The 17330-nt window shown below is 49.3% G+C and overlaps 1 long non-coding RNA gene across 2 annotated transcripts, besides 7 other annotated features; it reads left to right on the top strand.

Annotated features, from left to right (window-relative positions):
• The first annotated feature begins 827 nt into the window (after positions 1-827).
• LOC105375423 (uncharacterized) lies at positions 828-15387 on the top strand. 2 transcript variants are annotated; one of them, NR_159959.1, is made up of 4 exons: positions 1443-1539; positions 3136-3245; positions 11874-12075; positions 15129-15387. It is a non-coding gene; the product is annotated as an uncharacterized LOC105375423 (long non-coding RNA). The 2 variants fall into 2 exon arrangements; NR_159960.1 differs by lacking the exons at positions 1443-1539; positions 11874-12075 and adding an exon at positions 828-863.
• Positions 1186-1275: an enhancer, noted in NCBI's record as "active region_26331". NCBI's record gives its function as "activates an Ori minimal core promoter by ATAC-STARR-seq in GM12878 lymphoblastoid cells {active_cell/tissue: GM12878}" and the evidence as "EXISTENCE:reporter gene assay evidence [ECO:0000049][PMID:35858748]".
• Positions 1286-1405: an enhancer, noted in NCBI's record as "active region_26332". NCBI's record gives its function as "activates an Ori minimal core promoter by ATAC-STARR-seq in GM12878 lymphoblastoid cells {active_cell/tissue: GM12878}" and the evidence as "EXISTENCE:reporter gene assay evidence [ECO:0000049][PMID:35858748]".
• Positions 7436-7936: an enhancer, noted in NCBI's record as "H3K27ac hESC enhancer chr7:99601306-99601806 (GRCh37/hg19 assembly coordinates)". NCBI's record gives its function as "activates a minimal SCP1, AML or CMV promoter by ChIP-STARR-seq in naive H9 embryonic stem cells {active_cell/tissue: H9 hESC(naive)}" and the evidence as "EXISTENCE:reporter gene assay evidence [ECO:0000049][PMID:30033119]".
• Positions 7539-7833: an enhancer, noted in NCBI's record as "tiled region #15167; HepG2 Activating DNase unmatched - State 5:Enh". NCBI's record gives its function as "activates a minimal TATA promoter and a strong SV40 promoter by Sharpr-MPRA in HepG2 cells {active_cell/tissue: HepG2}" and the evidence as "EXISTENCE:reporter gene assay evidence [ECO:0000049][PMID:27701403]".
• Positions 10956-11456: an enhancer, noted in NCBI's record as "H3K4me1 hESC enhancer chr7:99604826-99605326 (GRCh37/hg19 assembly coordinates)". NCBI's record gives its function as "activates a minimal SCP1, AML or CMV promoter by ChIP-STARR-seq in primed H9 embryonic stem cells {active_cell/tissue: H9 hESC(primed)}" and the evidence as "EXISTENCE:reporter gene assay evidence [ECO:0000049][PMID:30033119]".
• Positions 11457-11957: an enhancer, noted in NCBI's record as "H3K4me1 hESC enhancer chr7:99605327-99605827 (GRCh37/hg19 assembly coordinates)". NCBI's record gives its function as "activates a minimal SCP1, AML or CMV promoter by ChIP-STARR-seq in primed H9 embryonic stem cells {active_cell/tissue: H9 hESC(primed)}" and the evidence as "EXISTENCE:reporter gene assay evidence [ECO:0000049][PMID:30033119]".
• Positions 13675-14174: an enhancer, noted in NCBI's record as "H3K4me1 hESC enhancer chr7:99607545-99608044 (GRCh37/hg19 assembly coordinates)". NCBI's record gives its function as "activates a minimal SCP1, AML or CMV promoter by ChIP-STARR-seq in primed H9 embryonic stem cells {active_cell/tissue: H9 hESC(primed)}" and the evidence as "EXISTENCE:reporter gene assay evidence [ECO:0000049][PMID:30033119]".

The following is a 17330-nucleotide window of genomic DNA, read 5'->3' on the forward strand; positions in this document are numbered from 1 at the left end:
TGCCATGTTGGTCAGGCTGGTCTGGAACTCCTGATCTCAAATGATCCGCCTGCCTTCACCTCCCAAAGTGCTGGGATTACAGGCGGGAGCCACCACACCAGCCAATTCTATTTTTAATTTTATTGAAGAAGCGCTGTACTATTTCTCACGGGGGCTGCACCATGTTATGTTCCCACCAGCAATGCACAAAGATTCCAATTTGTCCACATCCTCACCAAACACCTGCTATTTTGTTTTGTTTTGTTGGTGGTGGTGGTGGTTTTTTGTGTTTGTTTGTTTGTTTGTTTTTAGTACAGGGAGAGTATCCCTAATCCAAATATCTGAGCTCCAAAAGTTACAAAACCAGAACTTGAGGGCCATCATGGCACTTAGAGAAAATGCTCATTAGAGCATTTCAGACTTAGGATTTTGGGATTAGGGCTGCTCAACCAGTAAAGCAAATATTCCAAAGTCAAAAAAAAATTCTGAAATCTGAAACATTTCCGGTCCCAAGCATTTCAGATAAGGGATATTTAAACTGTAGCCATCCCGACGAGTGTGAGGCGTCTTCTCAAAAGTCTTGCACACTATTTTGTCTGCTTTGATCTGTCATGTGTTTCCTACCACTTTGAAAGCATAACGAATTTTATCCGTATTCATTTATGATGAGAGGCAGTCCAGGCAGTGCAAAGGGCACAAATCGTGGTCCCACAAGTCCTGGCTTCTGACCCGGATCACTGTGAGACCCTGAGCAAGCAAGAACTTGCTCCAGGCCTCAGTTTCCTTGGTCTCTGGGGGAAGCCAGGATGATAATCAGCCATGCTCCAACCCCTCAGCTGAAACTCAGGCCTGGATGCATTGTAAATGGATTTCCTCTTCCACAGGTGAGCCGCTGAATTCGATTCCTTCTTCCTTCCTTCCTTCCTTCTTTCCTTCCTTCCTTTCTTCCTTCCTCTCTTCCTTCCTTCCCTCTCTCCCTCCTCCCTCCCTCTGTCCTTCCTCCCTCTCTCCTTCCCTCTCTTCTTTCCTTTTTTTTCCTTTTTGAGATGGGGTCTCACTGTGTTTCCCAGGCTGGAGTGCAATGGTGCAAGCAAAGCTCACTGCAGCCTCTGACTCCAGGGCTCAAGTGATCCTTCCACTTAAGCCTCCCGAATAGCTGGGGCTACAGGTGTGCCCCACCACACCCGGCTCATTTTATTAATTCTTGGTAGAGACCAGGTCTCTCTCTGTTGCCCAGGCCAGTCTCGAACTCCTGGCCTCAAGCGATCCTCCCACCTCGGCCTCCCAAAGGACTGGGATTACAGGTACGAGTCACTGCGCCCAGGCTTTTCTCCCTTTTGACTCATTTTGAGGCCCCCGTCGTAGGGTACACGCCCTGGGAATCGGGGGTCTTCCAGTATAGGGAACCACCGAGATGCGGGCCCTCCGAAGTCCTAGAGAGGGCGCCTCGGCCGCCGGCACCCGCCACACTTCCGGCCTTTGTGGGCCGCAGCGACGGCGGTCTGCGGCTGTCGGTTCTGTTTGTTGCTGTCACTGCTGTTTGTTCTTGCCAGCGGCTAGGTGTGTAGTTGCTTGGGGCTCCTAGCACGAGGCCTCTGTCCCCAGGCACGCAGCGCCAGTCTCCGGCTGTTGCGCCCTGGGCGCCGCCTCTCTCCGGCCCCCCTTTGTTTCCTGAGCCAGCTGGGAAGACTAAAAGGGTGGGTCCTGGGAGCGGCCCATGGTTCGACCCTTCTTTTCAGGCATCCTTGGAGCATGCAGGCTGCAGATTTCAGGCCGACCCCGCTAGCACCAAAGTCCATGCTGCTGTCCGTGGCAGCTCAGTTTGAAAATGGCCTGGTAGAAAGTCCAGGTTGTTGAACTGGTAAACGCACTCTGCATCCCTTGACTTGAAGTTTTCATTATTCTCTAACGTGCACTTACCCCCAGTAGAGAGCAAATGAAGATTCATACAAGAAATACTGCCTTTCCCAAAATGGGACATTCCAGCAAGGGTGCCGGTACTGACTTGGGTTAGCTTAAGAGAGAGATGCAGTTGAAAAGCTTGTCGGCAGGGATCAGGGAAGACTTCCACTAAGTGGTGTGTATTCAAAGGAGAGGTAGGAATTGGTTAGGTGGACGACATGCTCCACCATCCAAGAAGAACATTCCAGATGGAACTCAGGCAAAAGCACAAAGTTCGAAAAGTCAGAAGTGCAGGGGAAGTGGTAAATATTTCGACACCATCCAGATAAATGGTTGTTTTTGGTTTTTTGGGATGGGGGACAGGGTCTTGCTCTGTTGCCCAGGCTGGAGTGCAGTGGCACGATCTCGGCTCACTGCAACCTCCGTCTCCCGGGTTCAAGCGATTCTCCTGCCTCAGCCTCCCCAGTAGCTAGAATTACAGGCGCCTGCCACCAAGCCCAGCTAATTTTTGTATTTTTAATAGAGACAGGGTTTCGCTATGTTGGCCAGGCTGGTCTCGAACTCCTGACCTCAGTGATCCTCCCACTTCGGCCTCCCAAATTGCTGGGATTACAGGCGTGAGCCACCTTCCCCGGCCCCATCCTGATAAATGTTTATTCTCTGTCGGGGAGTGGTGATTAAGATCTGTGTGACCACAGATCACTTCTGCTCAAAATAGCCAAGCCCCTTAAAAAATAAAGGTTTGTTTTCTAGAAATAGTATAGCAGGAGAACTGACTGCCACTTATTGGCCAATTTATTTAACCTTTCTGACTTTCAAATCCCTTGTTTCTAGGGGCATAGCAATAATATCTTGTAATAGGGAGGAATGGATTAGGTTAATTTGTAGAAAGCATCCACCACAGTGTGTGTGGCAGGTAGTATTAATACGTCGGAGGTTTATCATTGTTTTTACTGTTAATAATCATTAAAAATGTGATAGTATCCCTTCCCATTATGGAGCCTCCTTCTCTGTACAGTAAGCAATGTGGAAAGAGGAAGAGGAGTAAATTCCAGAAAGTGTTAAGAAAGATGTATGTAGAAATGATAGCAACCTATTCAATTTTCACAAAATTTGAATAGGGCATCATACTGTCTCTTACTATACCCATAAAATATCTTGTAGCATTTTTATCTGAGTGAAAGCAAGCATGATAATGTATCTTTTAAAAAATAAATATACTTTGTAAATCACTTTTTTTTTTTTTTGAGACAGGGTCTGGCTGTTTTGCCCAGAATGGAGTGCAGTGGCGTGATGGTCTCGGCTGACAGCAGCCTCGACCTCCTGGGCTCAAGCCTTGGCCTCCCAAAGTGCTGGGATTACAGGTATGAGCCACCATGCCCGGCCCTCCCTTTCTTTTGTGTCTTTGGATTTGTCTTTGTGGAGAGGGTACCAGGTAGGTCTTTTTTCCTCTGAGCAATTATTAAACCTGTGTTCCTTATGAACTGTATTGTTCTGTTTGAAAGCCCCTGTCTGGCACGCAAAACAAGACCAAAATTAATAGAGTTGGGCAAACTACTGAAAACTATATATATTTGCAATCAAAACTTCAAGAAAAAGCAATAACAATCCTCATTAAAGAGGTTAGCACTGGCCAGGTGTGGTGGCTCACGCCTGTAGTCTTAGCACTTTGGTAGACCAGTGCAGGAGGATGGCTTGAGCCCGGGAGTTCCAGACCACCCTGGGCAACATGGCAAAACCTCGTCCTTACCAAGAAAATATACAAAAATTCCCTGGGTATAGTGGCACACGCCTGTAGTCCCAGCTACTCAGGAGGCTGAGATGGGAGGATTGCCTGAGCCCAGGAGTTTGAGGCTGCAGTGAGCGTGATCACATCACTGCACTCCAGTCTGGGTGATGGAGGAAGACTCAGTCAAAAAAAAAGAAAAAAAAAAGGTAGGAGCTTTCCTCAAACATCTTCTCTGTCCATTCAAATGTCTTTGTTGTAACTGAATCGCAGGGTTCAGTCACTTGCTATTTGCAGAGTCTGATTAACAAGAGCAAAGTGTGGTATAAAGTGACCTTTTTTTTTTTTTTTGAGACAGAGTCTCACTCTGTTACCCGGCTGGAGTGCAGTGGCACGATCTCGGCTCACTGCAACCTTTGCCTCCCAGATTCAAGCGATTCTCCTGTCTCAGCCTCCCGAGGAGCTGGGATTACAGGCGCCTGCCGCCACACTCGGCTAAGTTTTCTATTTTTATTAGAAACGGCGTTTCACCATGATGGCCAGGCTGACCTCGAACTCCTGACCTCAGGTGATCTACCTGCCTCGGCCTCCCAAAGTCCTGGGATGTCAGGCGTGAGCCACCATGCCCGGCCAGTATCTGTAGCTCTTAGCCCTGGGTCAGTTTCTCCAGAGGAACACCTTCCAGTCTCCTTCCTGAAAAGTCCAAGCCCAGCCACCACTCTATACCAACAGAAGTAAAGACTTAACCATTGAAGGTGGGAGAAGGAAGTTTAGGGCTGCCCATCCATGGTGGGTCTGAGATCCCACACCCCTCAGGCCAGCAATCAGACCCCGCTGGCCTGAGGAATACCGGGCACAGTTGAGGGTGTGGACGCTACAGAGAAAACAAGAGGATTAAATAGATATTTACCTCCCGAATGGTGAGACCCTCCCTCATCCCTGCTCAGATGGCTACTTTTATCTAGAACAGGAGATGGCAAACATTTTTCTATAAAGGGCCAGATAGGCAGGGCACAGTGGCTCACACCTGTAGGAGGTGGGAGGATCGCTTGAACCCAGGAAGCAGAGGTTACAGTAAGCCAAGATCGTGCCACTGCCCTCAACCCTGGGTGACAGAGTGAGACCCCATAGCAAAAAAAAAAAAAAAACTAATTTTTGTCTGTAGGCATAAGGGTTGCTGGCTCTTTCTCCCTCATGCAGCCTCCAAGATGTACTATGGAAATTTAGACATTTATGAATTGCCTTGCAATGGAAAGGTAGTAACAGCAACTTCGAGAGTTCCTGCCAAGTTCTACCCCGAGTGGAACAAGTTGCTGATTGTTCCCTTCCCTGGATTTTAACCAAGGTGATAAATACAGTGGGAGGAGATATCTGGGAGAGGTAGAGGCTTTGACTCCAGACCTTGAGCTTTTTTTTTTTTTTTTTTTTTTTTTTGAGACAGAGTCTCACTCTGTTGCCCAGGCTGGAGTACAGTGTTGCAATCTTGGCTCACTACAACCTCTGCCTCCCCGGTTCAAGCGATTCTCCTGCCTCAGCCTCACAAGTAGCTGGGATTACAGGCGACCACCATCACCCCTGGCTAATTTTTGTATTTTTAGTAGAGACAGGGTTTTACTATGTTGGTTAGGCTGGTATCAAACTCTTGACCCCAAGTGATCCGCCCGCCTCGGCCTTCCAAAGTGCTGGGATTACAGGCATGAGCCACCGTGCCAGCTGATCTTGAGTTTATGGAAGTCAGAAACTTTGTCCCTAAGCAATAAAAATAGTTTTTTTTTTCTTTTTCTTCTTTTTTTTTTTTTTTTTTTTTTTTGCCTTTGGGTTCAAGTGATCCTCCTGCCTCAGTCTCCCAAGTAGCTGGGACTACAGGTGCATGCCACCACACCTGGCTAATTTTTTATATTTTGTAGAAACAGGATCTTGCTGGCTGGGCGCAGTGGCTCATGCCTGTAATCCCAGCACTTTGGGTGGCTGAGGCGGGTGGATCACCTGAGGTCAGGAGTTCAAGACCAGCCTGACCAACATGGTGAAACCCCATCTCTACTAAAAATACAAAAATTAGCCAGGCGTGGTGGTACATGCCTGCAATCCCAGCTACTTAGGAGGCTGAGGCAAGAGAATCACTTGAACCCAGGAGGTAGAGGCTGCAGTGAGCCAAGATTATGCGATTGCACTATAGCCTGAGCAACAAAAGCAAAACTTTGTCTCAAAAAAAAAAAAAAAAAAAAAACCAGGGTCTTGCTTCGTTGCCCAGGCTGGTCTTGAACTCCTGGCTCAAGTGATCCTCCTGCCTCGGCCTCCCAAAATGCTGGGATTACAGGTTTGAGCCACCACCCCGCCCCCACCTTTCTTAGTTGCAGGGGCAGAATGGGGGTTTGGAATACAAAAGAGCTGTTCCTGCTACTTACACATACATATTTTTAAGCAAGTCAGTTCTCCTAGCTAAGTCTTAATGTCTTTATCTCTAAAATGGGGATAACCCACCCTACCTCATTGGGTATTTGTGTAGATTAATAAAATAGCAGGTAAAAATCCCTGTCATATCAAGGGTGTTCAAAAAATGGCAAATATTATCATTCTGATTTATCTAGACAAGGAAACTCCAAGATGTTAAGGCATCATCCAAAGGGCACACAGCTCATTAGGGGTAGGAGCAGGAATACAATTTGTTTTCTTGACTCTCCAGCTAATATTCTTGCTTCTAACCTGTACTACTTGAAAAGGAGGCTTTAGTTCTTTTTATTGTATTTATTTATGTATGTATGTATGTATGTATGTATTTATTTATTTATTTTGAGATGGAGTTTTGCTCTTGTCGCACAGGCTAGAGTGCAATGGCGCCCTGTCACCTCACTGCAACCTCCACCTCCAGGGTTCAAGCAATTCTCCTGCCTCAGCCTCCCAAGTAGCTGGGATTACAGGCGCATACCATCATGCCTGGCTAATTTTTGTATTTTTAGCAGAGACAAGGTCTCACCATGTTGGCCAGGCTGGTCTCGCCTGACCTCGGGTGATCCACCTACCTCAGCCTCCCAAAGTGCTGGGATTACAGGCGTGAGCCACCACACCTGGCCTAGTTCTTTTTTTTTTTTTTTTTTTTGAGAAAGAGTTTCTCTCTTATTGCCCAGACTGGAGTGCAATGGCACCATCTCGACTCACTGCAACCTCCGCCTCCCAGCTCAAGCGATTCTCCCGCCTCAGCCTCCAGAGTAGCTGGGATTACAGGTGCCCACCACCAGGCCCGGTTAATTTTTTGTATTTTTTTAGTAGAGACAGGGTTTCACCATGTAGGTCAGGCTTGTCTCAAACTCCTGACCTCAGGTGATCCACCCGCCTCAGCATCCCAAAGTGCTGGGATTGCAGGTGTGAAGTACCGCACTTGGCACCCCCTCCTTTTTTTTTTTTTTAACCATGTTTGAATTGCTAAGGTAAGAAAAGTGTCAGGGCTGCAGGATGTTAGGAAATAAAGATTCTCCCCTTTTCTTTCTTTCTTTTTTTAGAGACAGGATCTCGCTCTGACACCCAGGATGGAGTGCAGTGGTGTGATCGTACCTCATTATAGCCTCCAACTCTTGGCCTCAAGCGATCCTCCTGCCTCGGTCTCCCAAGTAGCTAGGACTATAGGCACATGCCACCACGCTCAGCTAATTTTTGTATTTTTTGTAGACACAGAATCTTCCCATGTTGCTCAGGCTGATCTCAAACTCCTGGCCTCAAGCAATCCTCCCGCCTCAGCCTCACAAATTGCTGGGATTACAGGTGTGAGCCACCATGCCCCACCCCAGTTCTCCCCTTTTCTAACACCACCCTTCCTACCACCTTGGTTTCTGCTGCAGACAACAGGCCCCCTCCTATCACGGCCAGACTTTGAGCAAAGCTGGCTTTTCTGTACCACATAGTACAGGAGGTATTGGCAAGCACCACTCCTGCCCCACCTTTGCCCCTCCTGCCTACTCTTCCCCCATCCATCTCCACCCCGAGTCTCACCCCCTCCGGATGCAGGCTCTCTTCCCCTGAGCAGAGCTGCTCTTCCTGGGCAGTTACAAAGATTCTTTGTAATGTGTTTACAGGAGGAGGGGGTGAGAGCGGGGCCTGGCTGTACTGATGGGCCCACCAGCCCTGTTTACATAAGCAGAGAAGGAGCCAAAACAGATGACCCTGTAGCTCAGGGACCTAGATTAAACACATAACCAAAGTCCAGAGCCCTGTGCCCCAGCCGCCCAGTTTCTAGGCTACACCACACAGAAGCAGCATGGAGGAGCCTCTTGACCCAGGGAGGGTTGTTGACTCGGCTGGGTGAGAGATGTTTGCACAGAGAGGGAACTAGCAGGGCCATCTGGCTGTTCTCCTGCTAAGCGCTGGGCATTTGCAGGTCAGGCACCCTCAGGATTCCAGGGCCCCTGGGAAGGCAGCCCCAGCCAATACTGTTTCTTCTTTGGGGAAATTTCTAAAACATTGTTATTTTTACATTTTTCGCCCGGTAATTATACCCAACCCAAATAAACTGTGAAGTTTTATTTTGCGAGGTGGTGAGAAATGCAGTTCTCCGCATTTAAAACATGGCGATGGCTGGCACCTAAAAGTCCTCTGCAGTTTACAAAGCATTGCCACCTCCACAATGTCATACCGTCCTCAGAGTAGCTAAGTGGGTAGCTATTTGCCAAAACCATCCCTATTTTACAGATGAGGGAGTCAAGACTTAGAGAGGTCGGGTCACTTGCACAAACCACACGCCCAACAAGAGTGACTCCAAATTTTACACCCCTACTACTCTGACCCCTACTTCCTCTCCATTGGGCTGTAAAATAAGGCAAGAAGAGAGCTTGTTCCAATACATAATCACCTTGCAGGTGGCTCCCAGGAGAGAGTGTCACATCTCATCTCAGACATGCTGGAAGCCGAAGTGGTCAGCCTCAAGGGGCACTTAGAGGGCCCTGCAGTCCACCCAAGGACACCACCAGCGGGGCGTTCCCAGTACGCCACTCAAAGCCTTACGTGGAGAGGCCAGGCGCAGTGGCGCAGACCTGTAATCCCAGCACTTTAGGGAGGCTGAGGCGGGTGGATCACCGAGGTCAGGAGTTCGAGACCAGCCTGGCCAACATGGCGAAACCCTGTCTCTATTAAAAATATAAAAATTAGCTGGGTGTGGTGGCAGGCACCTGTAATCCCAGCTACTTGGGAGGCTGAGCAGGAGAATCACTTGAACCTGGGAGGCGGAGGTTGCAGTGAGCTGAGATTGCCCCATTGCGCACCAGCCTGGGCAACAAGAATGAAACTCCGTCTCAAAAAAAGAAAAAAAAGAGAAAAGAAATAAAATGCCTTATGTGGAGAGACTGAGCCCCCAACTATGTGAAACTGCATGAAACATACACAGAGCATCCCACCACTAGCTGAAATCATGGAGATAAGAGAGGGAACGTGTTTAGAATCACAGAAACTTTCCTCCAAGTTTGTTTCCTCTTGTCTCCTCGTGGGCTTTGTCTCCCCGCATTCAAACCTGTACAATCTACCTGAAGCCATTACCTGAGTCCCAATTAGTGTTCTTTCTACTTTCTCCTACTTCTTTATCCTCCCTTTTACAACCCAAAACACCAAACCTACCCGAAAGGCATCATCATTCCATCTTCTTCGCCGCCTTTGTCTCTCTGCCTCTTTTTTTTGTTGTTTGTTTGTTTGTTTTGTTTTGTTTTGAGACAGGGTCTCACTCTGTGGCCCAGGCTGGAGTACAGTGGCACGATCTAGTCTCACTGCAGCCTCAGTCTACTGAGCTCGAGCGATCCTCCCACCTCAGCCTCCTGAGTAGCTAGGACCACAGGCACGCACCACCACACCTGGCTAATTTTTTAAATTTTTTGTAGAGACAAGGCCTCAGTATGTTACCCAGGCTGGTCTCAAACTCCTGGTCTCAATGATCCTCCCACATTGGCCTCCCAAACTGTTGGGATTACAGGTGTGAGCCACCAGGCCCGGCCTGTCTCTGTCTCTTAACCCCAACTCTACTGCTCCATCCAAATAGCTTTGCCCAGTTTCACTGATTAGAACTTCTCTGCCACCCAAAGGTCCCAGCTCTGCTCCCATCACCCTTAGTCCAGCCCCAGCATCTGGCTCAGCCACCAGGTCCTCCTGGGCTTTTCTTTCTTGTCACTGTCAAATCCTGGTTCCCCTGCCTTCTCCTCAATTTATGTATTTATTGTTTACACACACACACACACACACACACACACACACACACACACACACATATATATATTTTTTTTTGAGATGGAGTCTCGCTCTGTCGCCAGGCTGGAGTGCAGTGGCATGATCTTGGCTCACTGCAACCTCTACCCCCCAGATTCAAGCGATTCTCCTGCCTCAGCCTCCCAAGTAGCTGGGACTACAGGCGCCCGCCACCACACCCAGCTAATTTTTGTATTTTTAGTAGAGACTGGGTTTCATCATGTTGGCCAGGATGATCTCAATCGCTTGACCTCATGATCCGCCCGCCCACCTCAGCCTCTCGAAGTGCTGAGATTACAGGCATGAGCCACCATGCCTGGCCCTTTTTTTTTTTTTTTTTTTTTAGACAGAGTTTTTGCTCTTGTTCCCCAGGCTGGAGTGCAGTGGCGCAATCTCGGCTCATTGCAACCTCCACCTCCCAGGTTCAAGTGATCCTTCTGCCTCAGCCTCCTGAGTAACTGGGATTACAGGTGCGCACCACCACACCTGGCTAATTTTTAAAATATTTTTAGTAGAGAGAGGGTTTCACCATGTTAACCAACCTGGTCTCGAACTCCTGACCTCAAGTGATCCACCCACCTTGGCCTCCCAAAGTGCTGCAATTACAGGCATGGGCCACTGCGCCCAGCCTGTATTTTATTTATTTTGAGACAGAGTCTCACTCTGTTGCCCAGGCTAAAGCGCAGTGGCACAATCTCTCCTCCTCCGGGGTTCAAGTGATTCTTGTTCCTCAGCCTCCCAAGTAGCTGAAATTACAGGCATGTGCCACCACGCGTGGCTAATTATTTTGTATTTTAGTAGAGACAGGGTTTCGCCATGTTGGCCAGGCTGGTCTCGAACTCCTGACCTCAAGCGATCCACCTGCCTCAGCCTCTCAAAATGCTGGGATCACAGGCGTTAGCCACCATGCCCTGCCCCAACCCCAATTTATTCTTTAGTGATCACGTTTCTGTAACAACTGTGTGACTGTGTTTTGCAGCTTTTAAACTAGTTTTACGCAAATGTATATAGAGGTACCTTCATACAGAGTCTCATTTACAAGTTAACTTCGCCTCCCCGTAGGATCTGTGTTCATTTCCTGCTGAAATTGCTAAATGTGGCTTGTTTGTTTTTTTCTGTCTTCATCTTCAATGTGCCTGGATTCTTCCTGCTATCATGCTTTTAACCAACCTACATTCAGGTCTTTCATTACCTTCCTGATAAAGTGCTATTTATAAGTTTTCAGTACTCTTTCTACTTTGAAGCCCTGACTTCTTTTCCCCCAACCACTTTATTCTCTCTCTACAGTCACTGGTTTTTTGTTTTTGTTTTTGTTTCGTTTGTTTGTTTTTTTTTTGAGATGGAGTCTCACTGTGTTGCCCAAGCTGGTCTTAAACTCCTGGGCTCAAGCCCTCCTCCCACCTCAGCCTCCCGAGTAGCTGGGATTACAGACGTGAACAACCACACTGGCTCTTCTCTGTCTACATTCAGCACCACCATAGATTATTTTTTGTTTTTTGGGGTTTTGTTTTGTTTTGTTTTGTTTGAGACAGAGTCTCCCTCTGTTGCCCAGGCCGGAGTACAGTGTACAGTGGCGCGATATTGGCTCACTGCAACGTCTGCCTCCTGGGCTTAACCGATTCTCATTCCTCAGCCTCCGGAGTGGCTGGGAATGCAGGCGTGCACCACCACACCCGGCTGATTTTTGTATTTTTAGTAGAAATGGGGTTTCACCATGTTGGCCAGGCTGGTCTCGAACTCCTGACCTCAAGTGATCCACCTATCTCGGCCTCCCAAAGTGCTGGAATTACAGGTGTGAGTGTGAGCCACCACACCTGGCCTACCTACTTTTAATTACGTGTAGATTAAGGGGCAGTTAGTGCAGAAATTACTAGGGAAGAGGTAGTAACTTCTAGGTTGTCAGCTCATTGCCATGGAAAGGGGTGGTAACTCCCGGGTGTTGCCATGGCAACGGTAAACTGACATGGCACTCTGGTGGGCATGTCTTATGGAAAGCTGCTTCTGCCCTGGCCCCATTTTAGCTAATCCTCAATTTGGTCCACTGTCCAAGCCCCACCTGCAGAGTCAAGTCCCTCCTCCCACCTCAGCACTGCTAGAAAAGAGCTTCAGGATGGAGCCACACATGTCACTCAAGCCCAAGGGTCAGTCAACAGCCCACAGCCCTAAATTCATCTGTGTCCAATGCCAGACCCTGCAACTGCTGATTTACATGAATCAACTCCATCATGCAAGCCTCATGACATCCCAATGAGGTAGGTGCTGTTTGAATCCTCATTTTACACTTAGAGAAACTGAGGCTCCAAAAGTTCAAGTAACTAGACCAAGAGTACATGGTACAGACAAGATGAGAACCAAGACCATCTGAGTCCTGCGCCCCTCTACTATACACCATAGCTAGGAAGGATATGGCTTGGGCTGACTTGGGAATGAGGCCACAAGGCTAGGGGCTGTTTGGTTTGTTTTGATTTGATTTGATTAGGCACCAATGTTCTCATAAACATCCGTATCCAGACGCAGGTGCTTTTGCAGTCATGTGACTGGACGTGGGCTAGGACTCTGTTGTCCGTGGCTGGAGTCCATAGCTGAGAACAAAGAAGGAAAAACTTCAGGAGGACACTCCCAGCCCACAGCACGGCACATCAAAGATCCCAGATGCCACCTACGTGACAGGCAGAAACGCTCGCGAGCTTTGCTTGCTCAGCCAGTTTTTCTGCTCCTCAAGTCTGGACGAAAGCAGCAAGAAAGAGAGAAAGGACTTGGTAGAAGCCAAAGAGAAAGGACTTTGCCTTCTGCCTATTGGTGGGGGCTTCCCTCTCCTCCTCCATGACTGGTTCCCTTGCCCCCTCACCATGAAGACAAGTGAGAATGTCTTCAAAACCTGGGGACAGAGGCTGGGTGCGGTGTCTCTCACCTGTGATCCCAGCACTTTGGGAGGCTGAGGTGGGCAGATCACTTGAGGCCAGGAGTTCAAGACCAGCCTGGCCAACATGGAGAAGTCTCATATCTACTGAAAATACAAAAAATTAGCTGGGCGTAGTGGCATGCACCTGTAACCCCAGCTACTGGGGAGGCTGAGGCAGGAGAATCACTTGAACCGGGAAGCAGAGGTTGGAGTGAGCTGAGATTGCACCACTGCACTCTGCACTCCAGCCTGCACAACAGAGGGAGACTCCATCTCAAAAAAAAAAAAAAAAAGAGCAGGGGGCAGGGCGGGCAGGAATCCCAGTCACCAGGGAGACTCCATATCTACAAAAAACCTCATCCTCGGCCAGGCACAGTGGCTCACACCTGTAATCCCAGCACTTTGGGAGGCCGAGGCAGGCAGATCACAAGGTCAGGAGATCAAGACCATCCTGGCCAACATGGTGAAACCCCATCTCTACTAAAAATACAAAAATTAGCTAGGTGTGGAAGCACAGGCCTGTAGTCCCAGCTACTCAGGAGGCTGAGGCAGGAGAATCACTTGAACCCAGGAGGCGGAAATTGCAGTGAGCCGAGATCACGCCACTGCACTCCAGCCTGGCGACAGGGCAAGACTCAAAAACAAAAACAAAAACAAAAAAACCCTCAACCTCTAGTTGAGCATTATTTTAAATAGGAGACTCTCGTGCCTAGGCAGGTGGCGGGTGATTCAACAAAGCCACTAAGAGGGGAAGGTGGCCAGGGAGGGGCAGGAGCACCACAGGAGGTCCACGTTCCATTCACTAAGAGGGGAAGGTGGCCAGGGAGGGGCAGGAGCACCGCAGGAGGTCCACGTTCCAGCCATTTGAGTGGCCAAGGGTGCCTGAGTTTGTCACAGATCAAATGGACCCAGGAGCAGGTAGCTGGACTTGAGTTGTCCAACTGGTGCCCCCACCCAAGAATCTCCTCAAAAGGAGGTTGTGCAGTGCCCTGCTAGGGGCAGAAGGCAGATCGACTGGGACAGGGGACTGAGTAGTAAGCAGGCCCCCAAGGCCCCCTGAGGATTTCATCCCTGAACACCACAAGCCAACGTTTGTGTGGCTGACGCACAGTAGCGGTAGACTGTGTTTTCCAAAAGTGACCTTGGCAGCGTTTTTGGTCCCACATGCAATTCCAGAACCACATCACTTCCCATCAAAAGGTGGCATCTGGCTGGGTGCCATGGCTCACGCCTGTAATCCCAGCCCTTTAGGAGGCCAAGGTGGGCAGATCACCTGAGGTCAGGAGTTCAAGACCAGCCTGGCCAACATGGCCGTCTCTACTAAAAATACAAAAATTAGCCGGGCACAGTGGCAGGCACCTGTAATCCCAGCTACTCAGGAGGCTGAGGCAGGAGGATTGCTTGAACCCGGGAGGTGGAGGTTGCAGTGAGCCAAGATCGCGTTACTGCGCTCTAGCCTGGGCGACAAAAGTGAGACTTAGTCTCAAAAAAAAAAAAAAAGGTGGCATCGCCAGGCATGGTGCCTGTAAAACCAGCACTTTGGGAGGCCAAGGCAGGAGTATCCCTTTAGCCCAGGAGTTTAAGACCAGCTTAGGCAACATAGTGAGACCCCATCTCTAACAAAAAATAAAATAAAATTAGCTGGGTGTGGTGGCGTGCACCTGTACTCCCAGCTACTCAAGAGGCTGAGGTGGAAGGATTGCTTGAACCCAGGAGTTTGAGACCAGCCTGGGCAACATAGTGAAACCCCCATCTCTACAAAAAAAATTTAAACATTAGCCGGGCATAGTTGCTCATGCCTGTAGTCCCAGCTACACGGGAAGATGAGGGTGGAGGATCACTTGAGCCCAGGAGGTCGAGGCTGCAGCGAGTCATGATTGTACTCCAGCCTGGGTGACAAGAGTGAGACCCCGTGTCATAAAAAAAAGAAGAAAAGAGGGGGGAACATATTTTCCCTTCCCCTGAAACTAGGTGTGACTTTATGACTGCCTCAAGGCATTGAATGCAGTGAAAGGGATGCTGAGTGCTTCTAAGATTAGGTTATAAAGGACATGTGGCCTTCATTCACCTGTCCCCTCTGTCTCTCTGTCACCCACTCCACTTCCTTCCTTCCCGTACCTCCTTCCTTCCCTCCCTTCCATTCCCTTCCCTTTCCTTTCCTTCCTTCCTTCACTCCCTCCCTCCCTCCCTTTCTTTCCTTCTTTCCCTCCCTCCCCTTTCCTTCTTTCCCTCCCTCCCTCCCTGCCTTCCTTCCTTCCTTTCCTCCCTCCCTCCCTACCTGCCTGCCCGCTCACCTGCTCTTCCTTCCTTCCTTCCTTCCTTCCTTCCCTTCCCTTCCCTTTCCTTCCTTCCTTCCTTCCTTCCTCCTCTCTCTCTCTCTGGATACTTGTCCTTGGACCCCAGCCACCATCCTGTGAGGAAGCCCAGAGCACATGAAGAGACCACCTGCACATGTTCAGATCCACTGCCCCAGCTAAGATCTCCGCTGACAGCCAGACCAATCACCAATCTTAGGAGCTGGCGAGCCTTCAGATGGTCCAACCTTTGAGGCCCCCCAGAGGAGCCAGGTGGAGCATAGATGAGCCATCCATGTGGATCCCTCCACCAAATGGAAGATTTAGGAGCAAAATAAACAATGTTGTCATTGCTTTCACCCACGAAATTGTTGAATAATTTGTTTTGCTGCTTAAGTAGCTGGAACACTGTGTTACCGAGGGAAGAGCAACAACCAACAGGAGAGAATAGTCAGTTAAGTAAGAGATTTTTGACCCTCTCCCTATCCGTCCACTTTGCTCAACACAACAGAGAAGCCACAGCTTCCAATAGGAAAATAGAGAGGGAAGGTGTCTCCAACAGTCAGATCACTCACTCCTGCCACCCCAGGGAGAGGGAAGGGGAGGAGGAAAAGCATAGATGAAAGTACCCTTCCCACAGCAGGTTCCCCAGCCACAGCCCTAGCCGACAGTAAAGAAAACTCAGGCTGGGCACGGTGGCTCACGCCTATAATCCCAACACTTTGGGAGGCCGAGGTGGGCGGATCGCTGGAGGTCAGGAGTTCGACACCAGCCTGGCCAACATGGCAAAATCCCATCTCTACTACAAATACAAAAACTAGTCAGGCAGGTGGCACACGCCTTTAATCCCAGCTACGTGGGAGGCTGAGGCAGGAGAATCGCTTGAACCTGGGAGGCGGAGGTTGCAGTGATCCCAGCCTCGGTGACAAAAGCAAAAACTCCGTCAAGAAGAAAGAAGAAGACTCAGTAAAATGGGACCTTTGGAATCAGATATAAGACTTGGGTTTGTTTTTTTTGTTTTGTTTTGTTTTTTTTAAGACAGAGTTTCGCTCTTATTGCCCAGGCTGGAGTGCAATGGTTCAATCTCGGCTCACCGCAACCTCTGCCTCCTGGGTTCAAGCGATTCTCCTACCTCAGCCTACTGAGTAGCTGGGATTACAGGCATGCACCACCATGCCCAGCTAATTTTGTATTTTTAGTAGAGGCGGGGTTTCTCCGTGTTGGTCAGGCTGGTCCCGAGCTCCTGACCTCAGGTGATCTGCCCGCCTTGGCAGCAGCACCCCATCTGGAGTGGCCACTGCCATGATGCTGGCTGCAGTGAGTGAGGCATAGCTGGGATCGCAGCACTCCACAGAGCTGGAGGGAGCTGGGAACACATGGAAGCCCCCACTCCTTCCAAGTTGGAGGGACAGGAGACCCTCCCTCCCAGGAGTAGCTGCAGCCACCCAGTCACAGCCGCAAACCCGGGCTCCCCTTCAGCATTGACTCCACCAGCTTTCACAACACAGAAGTCAAACTTAGGCAACCACAGTTTCTAGGGTGCCCTTCAGGAACTTTTATTTGTTCAGGGCAGCCAGCCAATTTTTAAGCACAATGTCTCTTTGTAATCATAAATCATTAGTTTCATGATTCTTTCAACACTTTCATCTTAGAGTCCTTTCAAAACTCTTGGGTGGATACCACCTGATCTTGTCAGCTGAGCTTGTTTGCTGACAGGTCTAGAACCCTGGGGTTACAAACGTTATTGCCTATATTCCCTCTGACTATCTGTGGGACCAGTAATCTCATTTCTTGGAATCCATCCTTAGGAAGTAATCAAAGATGTCGAGGCCAGGCGCGGTGGCTCACACTTGTAATCCCAGCACTTTGAGAGGCTGAGGTGGGTGGATCACTTGAGGCCAGGAGTTCGAGACCAGCATGGCCAACATGGTAAAACCCCATCTCTACTAAAAATACACAAATTAGCCAGGCATGGTGAGTGCACACCTGTAATCCTAGCTACTTGGGAGGCTGAGGCATGAGAATCACTTGAGCCCAGGAGGCGGAGGTTGCAGTGAGCTGAGATCACGCCATTGCACTCCAACATGGCAACTGAGGGAAACTCTCTCAAAAAAAAAGAAAGAAAAGAGGCCAGGTGCAGTGACTCACACCTGTAATCCTAGCACTTTGGGAGGCCGAGGCTGGTGGATCACTTCCTGCCTCTGCCACCCCTGAGACAGCAAGAGCAACCCTTCCTCTTCCTCCTCAGCTTACTCAGTGTGAAGACGATGAGTATGAAGACCTTGATGATGATCTATTTCCACTTACTGAA

The sequence above is a fragment of the Homo sapiens genome, chromosome 7 (genome assembly GCF_000001405.40).
Source record: "Homo sapiens chromosome 7, GRCh38.p14 Primary Assembly".
In the NCBI taxonomy this organism is placed as follows: Eukaryota; Metazoa; Chordata; class Mammalia; order Primates; family Hominidae; genus Homo; species Homo sapiens.